The sequence below is a fragment of the Homo sapiens genome, chromosome 19, assembly GCF_000001405.40.
Source record: "Homo sapiens chromosome 19, GRCh38.p14 Primary Assembly".
Taxonomy (NCBI): domain Eukaryota; kingdom Metazoa; phylum Chordata; class Mammalia; order Primates; family Hominidae; genus Homo; species Homo sapiens.
Window position 1 is genome coordinate 29,901,367 of NC_000019.10, and position 17,642 is coordinate 29,919,008.

The following is a 17,642-nucleotide window of genomic DNA, read 5'->3' on the forward strand; positions in this document are numbered from 1 at the left end:
TCTCGGCCGGGCAGAGGCGCTCCTCACATCCCAGATGGGGCGGCGGGGCAGAGGCGCTCCCCACATCTCAGACGATGGGCGGCCGGGCAGAGACGCTCCTCACTTCCTAGATGTGATGGCGGCTGGGAAGAGGCGCTCCTCACTTCCTAGATGGGATGGCGGCCGGGCGGAGACGCTCCTCACTTTCCAGACTGGGCAGCCAGGCAGAGGGGCTCCTCACATCCCAGACGATGGGCGGCCAGGCAGAGACACTCCTCACTTCCCAGACGGGGTGGCAGCCGGGCAGAGGCTGCAATCTCGGCACTTTGGGAGGCCAAGGCAGGCGGCTGCTCCTTGCCCTCGGGCCCCGCGGGGCCCGTCCGCTCCTCCAGCCGCTGCCTCCCGGGCGGCGCTCGCCGGCGCGGCGGCAAAGACTGAGACAGCTCCGCTGCCCGCTGAACTGCATCCTCCCGGCGGTCGGGCGGCGGCGGCTGCGGTCGGTCGCGGCAGCGGCTCCGCTTCATATCTGCAGCTGGGGCCCGCGGGCGTCAGCGCCGCGACTGTCCTGGCTCCGCACTGCCCCGGGCCGCAGCGCAGCCGCGCCAACCACCAGCCGCGGCCACCATGGCCGGACGGGCTCCCTAAGCCACCGACCCCAGCCCGCGGCGCCTTCGACCCTTCTGGGGCCTCCGGCGCCGCGACCTCCTCTGCCTGAAATTTCTTTTTTCTTTTCCTTTTATTTTATTTTATTTTTTGAGACGGAGTCTTGCTCTGTTGTCTGGGTGGAGTGCAGTGGTGCAATCTCGGCTCACTGCAACCTCTGCCTCCCAGGTTGAAGCGATTTTTTCTAATTTTTATTTTTTATTGTTTTTTTGAGAGAGTCTCACTCTCTCGCCCAACCTGGAGTGCGGTGGTCCAATCTCGGCTCACTGTAACCTCCGCCTCTCAGGTTCAAGCAATTATCCTGCCTCAGCCCCCCGAGTAGCTGGGATTACAGGCATGCACCACCTTGCCCAGCTAATTTTTATACTTTTAGTAGAGACGGGTTTCGCCATGTTGGCCGGGCTCATCTCAACCACTGACATCAGGTGATCCACCCACCTTGGCCTCTCAAAATGCTAGGATTACAGGCATGAGCCACTGTGCCCGGCTGAACATATTTGGTTAGTTTGTTCAAAGCAGAAGAAACCTCAGACACTGCATGGTTTTAGGCTTTGGCCCTACCATCCTCGTGAGCTTCCTGTCCAGGAGGATCATGAATGCCCCGGTTCTACTAAGTGCGGACCCCAAGGTCCTTCCCACCCCCGAGCCAACTGCTAAATTCCCTTACTAGTCCTAGCAATTGTTTTGTAGAGTCCTTAGAGTTCTTTATGTAAACAATCATATAATTTCCAGGGGATTCTTCCTTTCCAATATTTATGTATTATATTTCATTTCATATTATTATTGTATTTTATTTCATTTTACTTTATTTTTATTTACTTAATGTCTAACTGCAATGGCTAAAACTTCCAAGACAATATTGAATAAAAGTGTTAGGAGTAAGCATTCGTACCTTGTCTCCAGCCTTGGGGGAAAGCATTCACTATTTCGCCTTTAAGGATGATTTTATTTTTTATTTTAATTTTATTATGATTTTTTTGAGATGGTGTCTTGCTCTATCGCCCAGGCTGGAGTGCAGTGTCGCGATCTCAGCTCACTGCAACCTCTGCCTCCGGGGTTCAAGTGATTCTCCTGTCTCACCCTCCCTAGTAGCTGGGATTACAGGCTTGTGCCACCATGCCTGGCTAATTTCTGTATTTTTAGTAGAGATTGGGTTTCACCATGTTGGCCAGGCTGGTCTCGAACTCCTGACCTCAAGTGATCTGCCTGCCTCGGGCTCCCAAATTGCTGGGATTACAGGCGTGAGTCACTGTGCTCGGCCAAGGATGATTTTAACTGTAGGCTCTTCAAAGGTGTCCTTGATCAGATTGAGGAAATTCCCCTCTATTTCTATTCTCTTCTATTTCAGTTTGCTAAAAAAGTTCTTTAAATCATGAATAGATGTTAAAATATGTCAAGTATTTTTCTACATTTATTGAAATGATCATTGGTTTTTCTGTTATATTCTGTTAACATGGTAAATGGTATTGACTTTTTTTTTTTTTGAGACAGGGTTTTGCTCTGTTGCCTAGGCTGGAGTGCAGTGGCGTGATCTCTGCTCACTGCAGCCTCTGCCTCTCAGGTTCAAGCAATTCTCCTGACTCAGCCTCCTAAGTAGCTGGGATTACAGGGGTGCACCACCACATGGGCTAATTTTTGGTAGAGATGGGGTTTCACCATGTTAGCCAGGCTGGTCTCGAACTCCTGGCCTCAAGTGATCCACCCGCCTCGGCCTCCCGAAGTGCTGGAATTACAGGAGTGAACACTGTGCCTGGCCTTACATTTATTTTTAAATCTTAAATTAAATGTCTTTGTCAGATTTTGGTGTTAGGTGTTGCTGGTTTCAAAGCAGGGGATGAGAAGTGTCCCCTCTTATTGTGTCTGTTTTGCAAAAGGGTGTGTGAGATTGGTGCTATTTCCTCCTTGAAATTATAATAGGCTTCACCAGAGAAGCCATTTGGACCCTGGAGTTTTCTCTCTTGGAGGATGTTTAACTACCAATTCAAATTCATTAGTAGATCCATAGGACTTTTCAGATTTTGTTGCATTTTGTCTTAATTTTGGCAAGTTGTAGTTTTCAAGGAATTTGTCCATTTTTCTGTTTGTCTTGATCAGTCTGGCTGGATGTTTATCTGTTTTGCTGCTCTTTCCAAAGAATGAAAATGAACACCTGTGGAGCAGCCATAAGCCAGTGCACATCCAGGAGCCCAGCCCACTGGACCTGCAGCTTGCAGCACAGCCACCCTGCAGAGCACAGCCTCAATTAGCCAGTTCCCAGCCAACCCACGGAGACAGGAGCCAGGAGAGATAGCTGAGTTTTGGGGGTGGCTTGTTAAGCAGTAATAGCTGACTGATACAGTTAATGGGTATACACTTTATTTAACCAGTTCCCTACAGATGGACATTTAGCAAAGTGAATTATTTCGAGAGAAGCTTGGCTCCATTTAAAAAACATTTCTGGGCTTGGCGCAGTGGCTCATGCCTGTAATCCCAGCACTTTCGGAGGCCGAGGGGTGGATCACTTGAGGTCAGGAGTTCAAGATCAGCCTGGCCAACATGGTGAAACTCCATCTCTACTAAAAATACAAAAATTAGCTGGGAGTGGTGGTGAGTGACTGTAATCCCAGCTACTTGGGGGATTGAGGCAAGAGAATCGCTTGAAACCAGGAGGTGGAAGTTGCAATGAGCTGAAATTGTACCACTGCACTCCAGCCTGGGCAATGGAGCAAGACTCCTTCTTAATAACTAACTAAATAAATAAATATTAAAAAAAAATTTCTGACCAGGTGCAGTCACTCACACCTGTAATCCTAGCACTTTGGGAGGCTGAGGCAAGAGGATTGCTTGAGCTCAGGATTTCAAAACCAGCCTGGGCAACATAGCAAGACCGTGTTTCTCTCTTTCTCTCTCTCTCTCTCAATATATATCTCTCTCTCTTTCTATCTCTCTCATTTTCTCTCTCTCTCTTTCTCTCTCTCTCTCTCTCTCTCTCTATATATATATATAAATTCCTTAAGATCTATTTCTAGAAGAATTGCAGTCATGGTTTACATATTTATAATTTTAAAACATATTCCTAAATTATGCTCACCAAAGCTATGCTGTTTCACATTTCAGCAATTTATAAGCATCAATTTTCCTCATATTTTCCAACATTGAGTGTTGAAATATTTAATTTTCTGCAATCTAATAATGAAATGTAATATCAATTTAAATTTGCATTCCCCTGAGCATTAGAGGAGTTGAATAAACTTTTCATATACGCATTAGCCATTTATTTTTCTTCTTCCCTGAATTGCCCTTCGTCTTGTTTGTTCTCTTTTGTAGTGTTTTGTCTTTTCCTATTTGTAGGAGATGTTTATATAACTGGATATTAATCTTTTGTCTGCTAAAAGTATTGTAAATATTTTCTTGAATTATAAGAGTTTCTAAAAAAACTTTGTAGCATCTTTTATTGGAGAAAAGTTTATTATATTTACACAGTTAAATCTGATAATTTTTTTTAATGCTATTATATTTGCCTAAGAATATTTTTCCTATTCTGGCTGGGCACTGTGGCTCACTCCTGTAATCCCAGCTCTTTGGGAGGCCAAGGCAGGCAGATCACCTTAGGCTAGGAGCTTGAGACCAGCCTGGCCAACATGGTGAAATTCTGCCTCTACTAAAAATAATATGAAAAATTAGCCAGGCATGGTGGTGTGCACCTGTAGTTCCAGCTACTCAGGAGGCTGAGGCAGGAGAGAATTGCTTGAAATTGGGAGGCATGGAGGCTGCAGTGAGCCATGGTTGTACCACTGAACTCCAGCCAGGCAACAGAGCAAGACTCTGTCTCAATATATATATATGTTTTTCCTATTCAAAAACTATAAACATTAATCATATTTTCTTCTGTTATAATACTTTTTATTGCTTTGGGTCTATAAATTATCTGACACTTATTTTGGGGTTATTATTTTTAGTATAAGATTCTTTTCCAAAACAACAGGCAGTTCTTCCAACAGTGTTTATAATTTCATTACTTCCTCTTTAATTCGAAATGCCAAATTTAAACTAGTTTTTAAATAAAGGTTGTTTCTGGAATTTCTCTTCTACTGATCCCTCATGGCATTATATCAATATTATGCTGTTTTACTGCTGATTTTTTTTTCTTTTTGAGATGGTGTCTCACTCTGTTGCCCAGGCTGTAGTGCAATGGTGCAATCTCAGCTCACTGCAACCTCTGCTTCCCAGGTTCAAGCGATTCTCCTGCCTCAGCCTCCCTAGTAGCTGGGACTACAGGTGCGCACCACCATGCCCAGTTAATTTTTGTATTTTTAGTAGTGACAGGGTTTCACCATGTTGGCCAGTCTGATCTTGAATTCCTGACCTCAAGTGATCCACCTGCCTCAGCCTCCCAAAATGCTGGGATTACAGGCATGAGCCACCATGCTTGGCCTGTATGGATGTTTTATTCTGATATTTACTCTTCCAAATGAGCTTGCGAATATTAACAAATTCATAATAAAATGTGCGTGGATTTTGTGTGGGATTGTATCAAATATGTAGACTATTTGTAGAGAATCATAGTTTGATAGCATTGAGTCGTTGCATTTGATTTATATCCTTTTTTTTTTTTTTTTTGAGACGGAGTCGCCCAGGCTGGAGTGCAGTGGAGCTATCTCGGCTCACTACAAGCTCCGCCTCCCGGGGTCACACCATTCTCCTGCCTCAGCCTCCCAAGTAGCTGGGACTACAGGCGCCCGCCACCACACCCGGCTAATTTTTTTTTTTGTATTTTTAGTAGAGACGGGGTTTCACCATGTTAGCCAGGATGGTCTTGATTTCCTGACCTCGTGATCCACCCGTCTCAGCCTCCCAAAGTGCTGGGATTACAGGCGTGAGCCACTCGTCCAGCCTGATTTATATCTTGATCTTTAGAATTTCTTATTTTAATGATCTTCAGTAAAAATTATTTGGTTTTCTTACCAAACACAGCATGTTCTCACTCATAAGTGGGAGTTGAACAATGAGAACACATGGACATAGGGAGGGGAACATCACACACCGGGGCCTGTCGGGCAGTGGGGGGCTAGGGGAGGGATAGCATTAGGAGAAATACCTAATGTAGATGATGGGTTGATGGGTGCAGCAAACCATCATGGCACATGTATACCTATGTAACAAACCTGCACGTTCTGCACATGTATCCCAGAACTTAATGTATAATTTAAAAAAATTATTTGGTTTTCTTCAGGTAGGTTTTGCACAATTCTTTTTTTTTTTTTTTCTCTTTTTCAAGAGATAGGATTTTGCTCTGTCACCCAGGATGGAGTGCAGTGGCATGATCATAGCTCACTGTAACCTCCAACTCCTGGGCTCACTTGATCCTCCTACCTCAACCTCTTGATCAGCTGGGACTAAGGGTGCATGCCACCATGCTTGGCTAATTTTTTATTTGAATTTTTTTAGAGATGAGATCTCTTGCTATGTTGGTCTGGCTAGTCTGGAACTCCTGATCTCAAGTGATCCTCCTGCCTCGGCCTCCCAAAGTGCCGGGATTACAGGCATGAGCTACCACACCCGGCCACAGTTCTTGCTAGGTTTAATTCTAGAGTTTGTTTTTGTTGTTCTGTAATGAATCTACTGACATGAAAATCTTTTTCTGACATATTAAGGCCAAAACTTAGGTTAATAGCATTCATGATATATTCTAATTTTTGCAAAGACTGTATCTACATATATGGATAGCTGTATATGTAGGAATCTTTAGTTGTAATTTTTTTTTTTTTTGAGATGGAGTCTCACTCTTGTTGCCCAGGCTGGAGTGCAATGGTGCGATCTCAGCTCACCACAACCTCTGCCTCCCGGGTTCAAGTGATCTCCTGTCTCAGCCTCCCGAGTAGCTGGGATTACAGGCCTGCGCCACCACGCCTGGCTAATGTTGTATTTTTAGTAGAAACGGGGTTTCACAGTGTTGGTCAGGCTGGTCTCGAACTCCCGACCTCAGGTGATCCTCCTGCCTCGGCCTTCCAAAGTGCTGGGATTACAGGATAATTGTTTATTTACTTCTCTGTCTCCACTTGGTTGATGTGTTTTAGGAAAGGAACTATATTTTGACGACTTCATGTCTAACACCTGCATAGCACCTGGCACATTGGTAGCTCAAAAATCCTTTTTACATGAATGAATGAATGGAATAAAGGGATAGTGAAGGACCTACATTGAGCGATGACAGTGTCTTTTCCTTCAGTGCATGGCATTTGTTGATTCCTTTATTTCTGCTTCCTTGTATTTTCTGATTTTTCTTTTGTGATCATGTATTCTGTTGTGATTTAAAGAACAGAAAGAAAAAGATATTCACTTGGAAAAAGTAGAACCATAATGAAAGAGCACCACAAGGTGTACCTCATATACTACTAGTAAATTTTTTTCTTTCCACTTGAGACAGTGTCTCACTCTGTCACCCAAGCTGGAGTACAGTGGCAAGATCTCAGCTCACCGCAAACTCTGCCTCCAGGGCTCAAGTGATCCTCCCCGCTCAGCCTCCTGAGTAGCTGGGACCACAGACACACACCACCAAACCCGGCTAATTTTTTGTAGTTTTGGTAGAGACGGGGTTTCGCCACGTTGCCCAGACTGGTCTTGAACTCCTGAGCTCAAGTGTAAATTTTTAAAATGAGAAAAACAGGCTGGGTGCGGTGGCTTATGTTTGTAATCCCAGCACTTTGGGAGGCCAAGGCAGGTAGATCACCTAAGGTCAGGAGTTCGGGACCAGCCTGGTCAACATGGTGAAGCCCAGTTTTTACTAAAAATACCAAAAAATTAGCCAGGTGTGGTGGTGCATGCCTGTGATCCCAGCTACTCAGGAGGCTGAGGCAGGAGAGTTGCTTGAACCCAGAATGTGGAGGTTGTAGTGAGCCAAGATTGTGCCACTGCATTCCAGCCTGGGCGACAGAGCGAGACTCCATCTCAAAAAAATAAAAATAAAAATAAAATGAGAAAAACATATGCAGTTCCTAAAATGGCTTAGGGTGCAGGCCGTCACCTCCTGGGTGATTCCCATTTCAGTGGCGTGGCTTTGTGGTCTGTAAATGGGCTTCGTCCTGCCTTGCTGGTGCCCCTTACCACCCCTGCTGTGCAGGGCAAGGGTTGGCTTGCCTGCTGCTCCTGGCTCCAGGCCCTCAGCAAAGGCCCAGCACAGTTCAAAGGGACTAGAGGGAAGCCAGGGAAAGTAATTCTTTAGTCTCCGAGGTTGTTTTAACATTATGATGATATATGGCATATGTTGCTACAATGGCTGGGCACATTTACACGGAGGGCAGACCGGGAGGCCCTTAGGGCTGGGAGGGCCACCAGGTCAATAATATATGCAACCGGCAAAAGAAAACATCGACCTCATTTCCTCCAGAGAGCAGACAACTGTAACCCTGGAGTCCTGGTTTGCATGTAAATAATGAGCAAGATACTGCGTGGCCACTTGTATCATTGAGGGGAGAGTGAGACAAGAACAAGAAAGATAAATTAGAAAAATATGAGGGCACCACTTATGGATCTGTACAAGGAAGTGTCATTCTTCAGGTTAATTTTGCTTCCTCTAGAAAGCAGCTCAGTGTTGGTAGGCTTCTATGTCTGAGATTTTAAAATGGCTTTGGTATGATTATTATCAATGAAATAATCACTGTCAGTAACAAAAAATCAGTTTCTCGAGAGGATGACTGACGTGCGGTTGCAGCATTTGGCCCCGGGGCCCATTAAATCCTGACCAAAGTGCTGAAGAGTTGCCCCACAAATGATTTGGCTACACTGGGAATCACCCGGAAGGAGGCCAAGGGTGTGTAATTCTGGGGAAGTTTGGCGGCAGCCTAGGGCCTCCTCAATCTGAAAGCTCTTGTTTCGCTTTGTAAAGCGTTTGCTTGTTTCTTTTTCTTTCTCTCTTTTTTTCTTTCTTTCTTTTTCTTTCGCCTGCCTCCCTCCCTCCTTCCCTCCCTCCCTTCCCTCCTCTCTCCGTCCCTCCTTCTCTCCCTCTCCTGCCTCTCTCCCTCTCTCCCCCCTTTCTCTTTCCTTCCTCCCTCCCTCCCTTACTTCCTCCCTCCCTCCTCTCCCTCTCCTGCCTCTCTCCCTCTCTCCCCCCTTTCTCTTTCCTTCCTCCCTCCCTCCCTTACTTCCTCCCTCCCTCCTCTCCCTCTCCTGCCTCTCTCCCTCTCTCCCCCCTTTCTCTTTCCTTCCTTCCTTCCTTCCTTCCTTCCTTCCTTCCTCCCTCCCTCCCTTCCTCCCTCCCTCCCTTCCTCCCTCCCTCCCTTACTTCCTCCCTCCCTCCTCTCCCTCTCCTGCCTCTCTCCCTCTCTCCCCCTTTCTCTCTCCTTCCTTCCTTTCTTCCCTTCCTCCCTCCCTCCCTCCTTCTCTCCCTCTCCTGCCTCTCTCCCTCTCTTCCCCTTTTCTCTCCTTCCTTCCTTTCTTTTCCTTCCTTCCTTCCTTTCTTTCCTTTCTTTCTTTCTTTCGCCTTCCTCCCTCCCTCCTTCCCTCCCTCCCTTCCTCCCTCCCTCCCTCTCCTGCATCTCTCCCTCTCTCTCCCCTTTCTCTTTCCTCCCTTCCTCCCTCCCTTCCTCCCTCCCTTCCTTCCTCCCTCCCTCCTTCTCTCCCTCTCCTGCCTCTCTCCCTCTCTCCCCCCTTTTCTCCCCTTCCTTCCTTCCTTTCTTTTCCTTCCTTCCTTCCTTCTTCCTTTTCTTTCTCTCTTTCTCTTTCTTTCCTTTGCCTTCCTCCCTCCCTCCCTCCTTCCCTCCCTCCGTCCTTCCCACCCTCCCTCCTTCCCTCCCTCCCTTCCTTCCTCCCTCTCTCCTTCTCTCCCTCTCCTGCATCTCTCCCTCTCTCTCCCCTTTCTCTTTCCTTCCTTCCTTCCTCTCTCCCTTCTTTCCTCCCTCCCTCCTTCTCTCCCTCTCCTGCCTCTCTCCCTCTCTCCCCGCTTTTCTCTCCTTCCTTCCTTCCTTTCTTTTCCTTCCTTCCTTCTTCCTTTTCTTTCTTTTCTTTTTCTCTTTCTCTTTCTTTCTTTCTTTCTTTCTTTCTTTCTTTCTTTCTTTCTTTCTTTCTCTCTTTCTTTTTCTTTCTTTCTTTCTCTTTTCTGTCTCTCTCTCTCTCTCTCCCCCACCTTTTTTTTTCAGACAGGGTCTTGCTAAGTTGCCCAGGCTGGTCTCAAACTCCTGGCCTCAAGTGATCCTCCTGCCTTGGCCTCCCAAAGGAGGAATTATTATCACTATTTTGCCTTAGATGTGATAATGGTTGTATTTTTACATACTTATGTTTTGGAGATACCTGCTGAATATTGATGGGTGGAATGATAGAATTTAGGGGATTTGCTTCAAAATAGCTAGGGGAGGCAGTAGGGGGAGGTACAGAAGAAATGAAATTGGCCATGAAGTGACCATTGCTGAGTCCAGATGATGGATACATGGGGGCTCACTATGCTGTTCTACCCTTTTACTTGCTTGAAATTTTTTATAAGAAATAAAGCTTCCCAGGTGGTTCTGATGATCAGCCAGAGCTGGGAACCCCTGGCTTGGCTGATCCGCAGAGGCTGATTCCTAGCTATTATTCTCTGACCTTCCATGTCGCAGAAATTATGATGGTAATCAGAACTGGATCATGTTTCCTCTCTAGTTTGGAGGAGGTCATGAGATACCTTAACAAGAAAAGGGTCTGGGGGACCGGCATGGTGTCTCACACCTGTAATTCCATAGGCCAATGTGGGTGGATCATGAAGTCAGGAGTTTGCGACCAGCCTGACCAACATGGTGAAACCCTGTCTCTACTAAAAATACAAAAATTAGCTGGGCATGGTGGCACTCACCTGTAATCCCAGCTACTCAGGAGGCTGAGGCAGGAGAATCCCTTGAACCCGAGAGGCAGAGGTTGCAGTGAGCTGAGATCGCGCCACTGCACTCCAGCCTGGCAACAGAGCAAGACTCTGTCTCAAAAAAAAACATAAAAAAAAGAAAAAAAAGGGTCTGAAGGGTCTGGGGAAAGGTCCCCTGACAAATCAGTTCATCCAGGACATGAACTGACCTGCAATCCGCTCGGAATAGGATGTCGGATCAAAATTGTCTTGTTCCTTAGAGAAATAGCCTCCTTTCCCATAAAAAGACAGGAGGAGATCTATCTTTATTTATTTATTTGTTTTTAAAAACAGAGTCTCACTCTTTGTCCGGGCTGGAGTGCAGTGACAAGATCATAGCTCACCGTAACCTCCAAGTACTGGGCTTAAGTGATCCTCCTGCCTCAGCCTTCCAAGTATTCTTGACTACAGGCATGCATCACCACTCCAGGCTAATTTTTAATTTTTTTTGTAGAGAGATGGGGTCTTGCAACTTTGCCCAGGCTGATCTTGAACTCCTGGCCTGAAGTGATCCTCCCACCTCAGCCTCCCAAAGCACTGGGATTACAGGTGTGAACCTTCACGCCCAGCTTTCTATCTTTATTTTGAAAAGTAAAATAAATACAAATTATTAGTTCATTGATTTATTGAACTAATTATTTATTGGATTGCTACTGTATGCCAGGCACTCTGCCAAGCTCTATCGAAGTTCTCAAAGTTTAATTTGGGGCCTGGCATGGTGGCTTACACCTGTAATCCCAGCACTTTGGGAGGCAGAAGTGGGTGGATCACTTGCAGTCAGGAGTTCGAGACCAGCCTGGCCAACAAGGTGAAACCTGATCTCTACTAAAAATACAAAAATTAGCTAGGCGTGGTGGCACATGCCTGTAGCCCCAGCTACTTGGGACACTGAGGCACGAGAATCACTTGAACGTGGGAGGTGGAGGTTGCAGTGAGCCGAGATCGCACTTCAGCCTGGGTGACAGAGTGAGACTCTGTCTCAAAAAAAGAAAAAAAAAAGTTGAATCTGTAGACCTCTGGGATCCCAGAGATTCTTTCAAGGGGTCTACAAGGTAAAAACCATTTTACAATTTATATTTATTTACGATAATACTAAGATGTCATTTACCTTTTATTTTGGTATTTGCACAGATGGTATAAAACCAACAGCGAGTAATACTGCTTGTACTTGACGTTAATTTGTCAGTGGCACTGACTGTACTAGAACTCATTGTATTCTTCACCACTCACAGTTTATTTATTTATTTTTACTTTTTATTGATTTTTATGTTTTGAGATAGAATCTCCCTCTGTCACCCAGGCTGGAGTGCAGCAGCACAATCATGGCTCACCACAGCCCCAATTGCTCAGGCTCAAGCAATCCTCCCACCTCAGCCTCCCGAGTAGCTGGGAATACAAGTGTGCGCCACCACAACCGGCTAACTTATTTTATTTTATTTATTTATTTATGACAGAGTCTTGCTCTGTGGCCCAGGCTGGAGTACAGTGGTGCAATCTCGGCTCACTGCAACCCCCACCTCCCGGGTTCAAGCGATTCTCCTGCCTCAGCTTCCCTAGTAGCTGGGACTACAGGCATGGGCCACCATGCCTGGCTAATATTTGTATTTTTATTAGAGACAGGGTTTCGACATGTTACCCAGGCTGGTCTCGAACTCCCGACCTCAGGTGATCTGCTCACCTCAGCCTCCCTAAGTGCTGGGATTACAAGTGTGAGTCTACTCACAGTTTAAAACAATCCACTTTCACTTAAGAATGTTCCTAATGAAGCAGTAAGAATTAGTGTTATTAAATTTGAATTCTCGAGTCCACTTCTGAAGATTGTGACGGAGTGAACACAGAACAGGATTCCGCCACACACTGGGTACAATGGCTTTTCAAGGTGAGACACTGGTGCAGTTGCTTGAGTTGCGAGCTGAACTAGCTGCTTTTTATCATGGCACACTGTTTTACTTGGAAGAAAGTTCTGACACATCAAAGTACAGATATTCAGACTCTGGTATTTGGCAGACATTTTCTCAAAAATGAACAAAATGAGCCTGTCACTTCAAGGGAAACAACTGGCAGTATGTTTTGCCAATGATAAAATTCAAGCTTTCAAGTTGAGCATTAGGATTTTGGGAAAACTTGTTATCTGCCACCAAGAGCTTGACAGCTTCTCAATTTCTTTCTTTCTTTCGTTCTTTCTTTTTTGAGATGGAGTTTCACTCTTGTCGCCCAAGCTGGAGTGCAATAGCAAGGTCTCGGCTCACTGCAACCTCTGCTTCCCGGGTTCAAGCGATTCTTTTGGCTCAGACACCCAGGTGGCTGGGATTATAGGCGCCTGCCACCATGCCCAGCTAATTTTTGTATTTTTAGTAGAGATGGGGTTTCACCATGTTGGCCAGGCTGGTCTCAAACTCCTGACCTCAAGTGACCCACCTGCCTCGGCCTCTCAAAGTGCAGTGCTGGGATTACAGGCATGAGCCACTGTGCTTGGACAGCTTCTCAATATTTAGATACCTTTTAGATGAGATCACTAGTGATATTTTTAAAATGTGATTTTTGATATTGTATAATAAAACTGACATTTGGAAGTTTTGCATAGCTTAGCGAACCAACATTTTCCAAATGACCAATGCGTGATGTTACAAAATCATTCAAAGTGCAAGATGGATATTACCAAGTAATCCTTCTCCCACCTAGGACACAGTAAGGGAGAAACAGCAGTTGTCCCACCCTAGCAAAAGCAGGAAAATTGCAAAAGCAAAGAGCCAGGAAACCTCAAAAGCAAACTTTTTCTTGAACCTACTGGAAAGCTGAAGGGGCAGGGCAACTGTGTAGCCTGAAATCTAAGGAAAGACAGTTGCCTCCCCAGTGATAGATGGGACATGAGCACCAGCTTACCTGTGTGCAGTACAAGAGGAAGAGGTTCCTGGTGCCATGCACGAGAGAAAACATTATTTAGCTAACATTTTTAGCAAATTTGCTGGAGCCTGAGTGCAAACTAGAGTAGGCATATAAAGTCCTGGGCACTGCAGACTCAAGGAGAGTTTTCATAGACCTCCAGTTTATGAGAAAGACCAGGAGCAGAGCAGGACACCAGAGACCACCTCCCTCGTTGGTACAGGGCTAGAGGATAGTGACAACTGAAGACAACGAGGCTCATTTGGAAAGGAGAGCTTTATTTCTCATAAAGGGTTGCAGCCTGCAGAGTGGCCATTCTGACAGGCTGGGAAGCATAGCCTCTGGTCACAAGCCAGAAACAGTCACTTCAAGGGAGGAGCAAAGGGAATAGGAATTTATGCTGAGCGGGATGGCTGAACATACATATTTAATAAGATATAGGAGTCATGAATATTTATGAAAGGAGAAACACATGTGCAAGTGTGCTTCATGTCCCTTCATGGGTCCCATGTACAAAAACATGGCAGTATCAGCCTGATTCAAGGGTGGAGTTTTCAGCCTTCTGATATCAAAAGGTGACATGAAGATGTAGAAACCTTTATTGAGCATTCTCCATGGACTGACCAGACCATGGAGGTCTCTTATCAGGTAAAAAAGAAGGAGCAGCCTCAGGTGGTTATAGGTGATATCAGTGTGGAGTCTTTTGAAAGGGCTGGTTTCTGTTTAGCCCTTAGGGAAGAAAATCTAATTGTAGTTAGTGATGAAGGGAGCGTTAACAATGAGGTGCATCAGACCCCCTATCCCATCATGGCCAAGCATTCTGTTTTCAAGGTGACTCTGCATTCCCTTGGCCAGGAGGTGGTCCATTCAGCCAGTTGGGTGGGGGTGGGGGGGCACTTAGAATTTTATTCATATTTCTAGATAGGATTGGCCACATTTGTGGGAAAGGCATAAACACCATCCAGACTCTTCATTTCTTTCTTTTTTAAAAACAATTATTATTATACTTTAAGTTCTAGGGTACATGTGCCAACGTGCAGGTTTGTTACATATGTATACATGTGCCATGTTGGTGTGCTGCACCCATTAACTCATCATTTACATTAGGTATATCTCCTAATGCTATCCCTCCCCCCATCCCCGACCCCATGACAGGCCCCAGTGTGTGATGTTCCCCACCCTGTGTCCAAGTGTTCCCATTGTTCAATACCCACCTATGAGTGAGAACATGTGGTGTCTGGTTTTCTGTCCTTGCAACAGTTTGCTCAGAATGATGGTTTCCAGCTTAATCTATGTCCCTATAAAGGACATGAACTCATCCTTTTTTATGGCTGCATAGTATTCCATGGTGTATATGTGCCACATTTTCTTAATCTAGTCTATCATTGATGGACATTTGGGTTGATTCCAAGTCTCTGCTATTGTGAATAGTGCCACAATAAACATACGTGTGCATGTGTCTTTACAGCAGCATGATTTATAATCCTTTGGGTATATACCCAGTAATGGGATGGCTGGGTCAAATGGTATTTCTAGTTCTAGATCCTTGAGGAATCACCACACTGTCTTCCACAATGGTTGAACTAGTTTACAGTCCCACCAACAGTGTAAAAGTGTTCCTATTTCTCTACATCCTCTCCAGCAACTGTCGTTTCCTGACTTTTTAATGATTGCCATTCTAACTGGTGTGAGATGGTATCTCATTGTGGTTTTGATTTGCATTTCTCTGATGGCCAGTGATGATGAGCCTACCTCCCTTTATTTTTTGAGTTGGAGTCTTGCTTTGGCACCCAGGGTGGAATGCAGTGGTGCAATCCTGGCTCACTGCAATGTCCGCCTCCCAGGTTCGAGTGATTCTCCTGCTTCAGCCTCCTGAGTGGCTGGGATTACAGGCACACGCCACCACACCTGGCTAATTTTTGTATTTTTAGTAGAGACAGGGTTTCACCGTGTTGCCCAGCTGGTCTCAAACTCCTGGCCTCAGGTGATCTGCCTGCCTTGGCCTCCCAAATGGCTGGGATTACAGGCGTGAGCCACTGCACCTGGCCCAGACCCTTCATCTCTACTCCCCTAGAAAACAAAAACTATAAGCTGCCATAGGGAAGTGGGGAGGGATTACTGAGAAAGTTCTACCTCTGAGACCCAAGGACACAGGAAGCATGAAGTAACAAGTAACTGCAGTTTTCCCATTAGGAGGGGCAAGAGTGTGGGGAGAGCCCCTCGAGGTGTGAGTGCACAGAGAAGACCAGAAACTGAGGGTGAGGAAGAAATATTAAGAACGACCCTTGGGAGGTAATTCCAGGGTTTTAGGAGGCTGAGGCAGGGAGATTGCTTGAGGCCAGGAGTTCAAGATCAGCCTGGGCAACATGGCAAGGCCCAGTCCTGACAAAAAAAATTTAAAAATTAGCCAGGTGTGGTGATGCACAGCTGTAGTCTCAGCTACTTGAGAGGCTAAAGTGGGAGGATCAATTGCTTGAACCCAGGAGTTGAAGGCTGCAGTGAGTTATGATTGCAACCACTGCACTCCAGCCTGGGTGACAGAGCAAGACGTTGTCTCAAAGAAAGAAGGAAGAAAGAAAAAAAGAAGGAAGGAAGGAAGGAAGTGTTAGATATGAGTTCTAAATTTATTTTCAAAGAATCAATATGTCAGTATGTTCAATTCTTTACCTTCTACTTTTAAACTTAACTTCCTTATAAAGCAACCTTTTTTGATTACCTGCTCCACCCTGACTCATTTCAATCACCTGCTCCACCCTGACTCATTCTGATTACCTGCTCTGTCATAACCATTTTTCCTGCCAAAGCACTCACCCCGTTATTAGCCAATCAGAATTAGTTTAGCCTGTGCGGTCTAACTCTACCAATAGGGGAACAACACAGCAGCAGGGGCCATGTGGGTCACGGATAAGAACCCCTTCCCCTCCCTTGTCCAAGTGTGCGCTCACCATTGCTCTATCTGTAAGGGCGCACCCTTCTATGGAAGTACCTTGCCTTGCTGAGAATTAAAAGAAAATTTTATATTTGAGTGCAATTGGTTTTGCGGCACTGAAACTTTACATATAACAGGAGGAAGGAAAGAAGGGATGGAGGGAGGGAGGGAGAAAGAAAGACACTGAAGCAACTCAACCCCCATCTGAAGCACAAGGTAATTCTAGAGGAATTTGAACCTAGTGTTACACTGACGGAAACCATGGCAATAACAAAAGCCAAACCCAGATTGACTCCTGACTGGATTGCCTCAACTTCCCATTGGTTGCTTTCCACAACCAATCAGACAGATTTCGGGCCACCACTTGGTTTACACGAGTTGACCACCAAGTGGCCAATGGGAAACCTGTAGGGAGTATTTGGACCCAAGAAGATTCTGTATCCGGGCCCTTGAGCCCCTATGCTCGAGCCCGCTCCTGCACTGTGGAGTGTACTTTCATTTTCAATAAATCCCTTCATTCCTTCCTTGCTTTGTGTGTTTTGTCCAATTCCTTGTTCAAGGCACCAAGAACCTGGACACCCTCCACCGATGACACTGAGAGGTGTTGCAGGAACTCCCAAATTTGTGTTGATTAATTTTTGTATTTTTAGTAGAGATGGGATTTCGCGATGTTGTCCAGGTTGGTCTCCAACTTCTGACCTCAAGTGATCCACCTGCCTCAGCCTCCCAAAGTAAGACCGATGCCTCAATGCTGTGCCTGCAATTGCCTGTTCCTGCTGTTTCAGGGTAGTTTTGTTTGTGTCCGGTTCCTGCTGTCCTCCCTGCCCCACACAGGAGGCCTCTGTGCAGGACACACAGCCGTTCCTCGAGAGCCACTCTGCACCTGCTGTCTGCACTAGCTACAGAAGGGTCCAGATGAGTGTCTGCACAGGTAGGTCTTGCCGCTGAAGACTAAGCCTTGCAAAGCAAACCAGGAGAAATGGATTTTGGTATGTTAGACAGGCAGGCAGTCTTCGTCCTAGTTTTGTTTTGTTTTTTGCTTAGTAACTGCTATTGCAACCATAATATTTTCATCCTTCTTTCCTTCTGAAATTGTGCCTCAAAGAGTTAAAGAAATCAGTAACTCTGGGCACAGTGGCTCATGTCTGTAATCCCAGCACTTTGGGAGGCTGAGGCAGGAGGACTGCTTGAGCCCAGGAGTTTAAGACCAGCCTGGACAACACAGTGAGAACCCGTCTCTACATAAAATAAAAATTAGCTGGGCATGGTAGCGCATGCCTGTCATCCCAGTTACTCAGGAGGTTGGGGCAAAAGGATTGCTTGAGCCCAGGAGTTCAAGGCTGC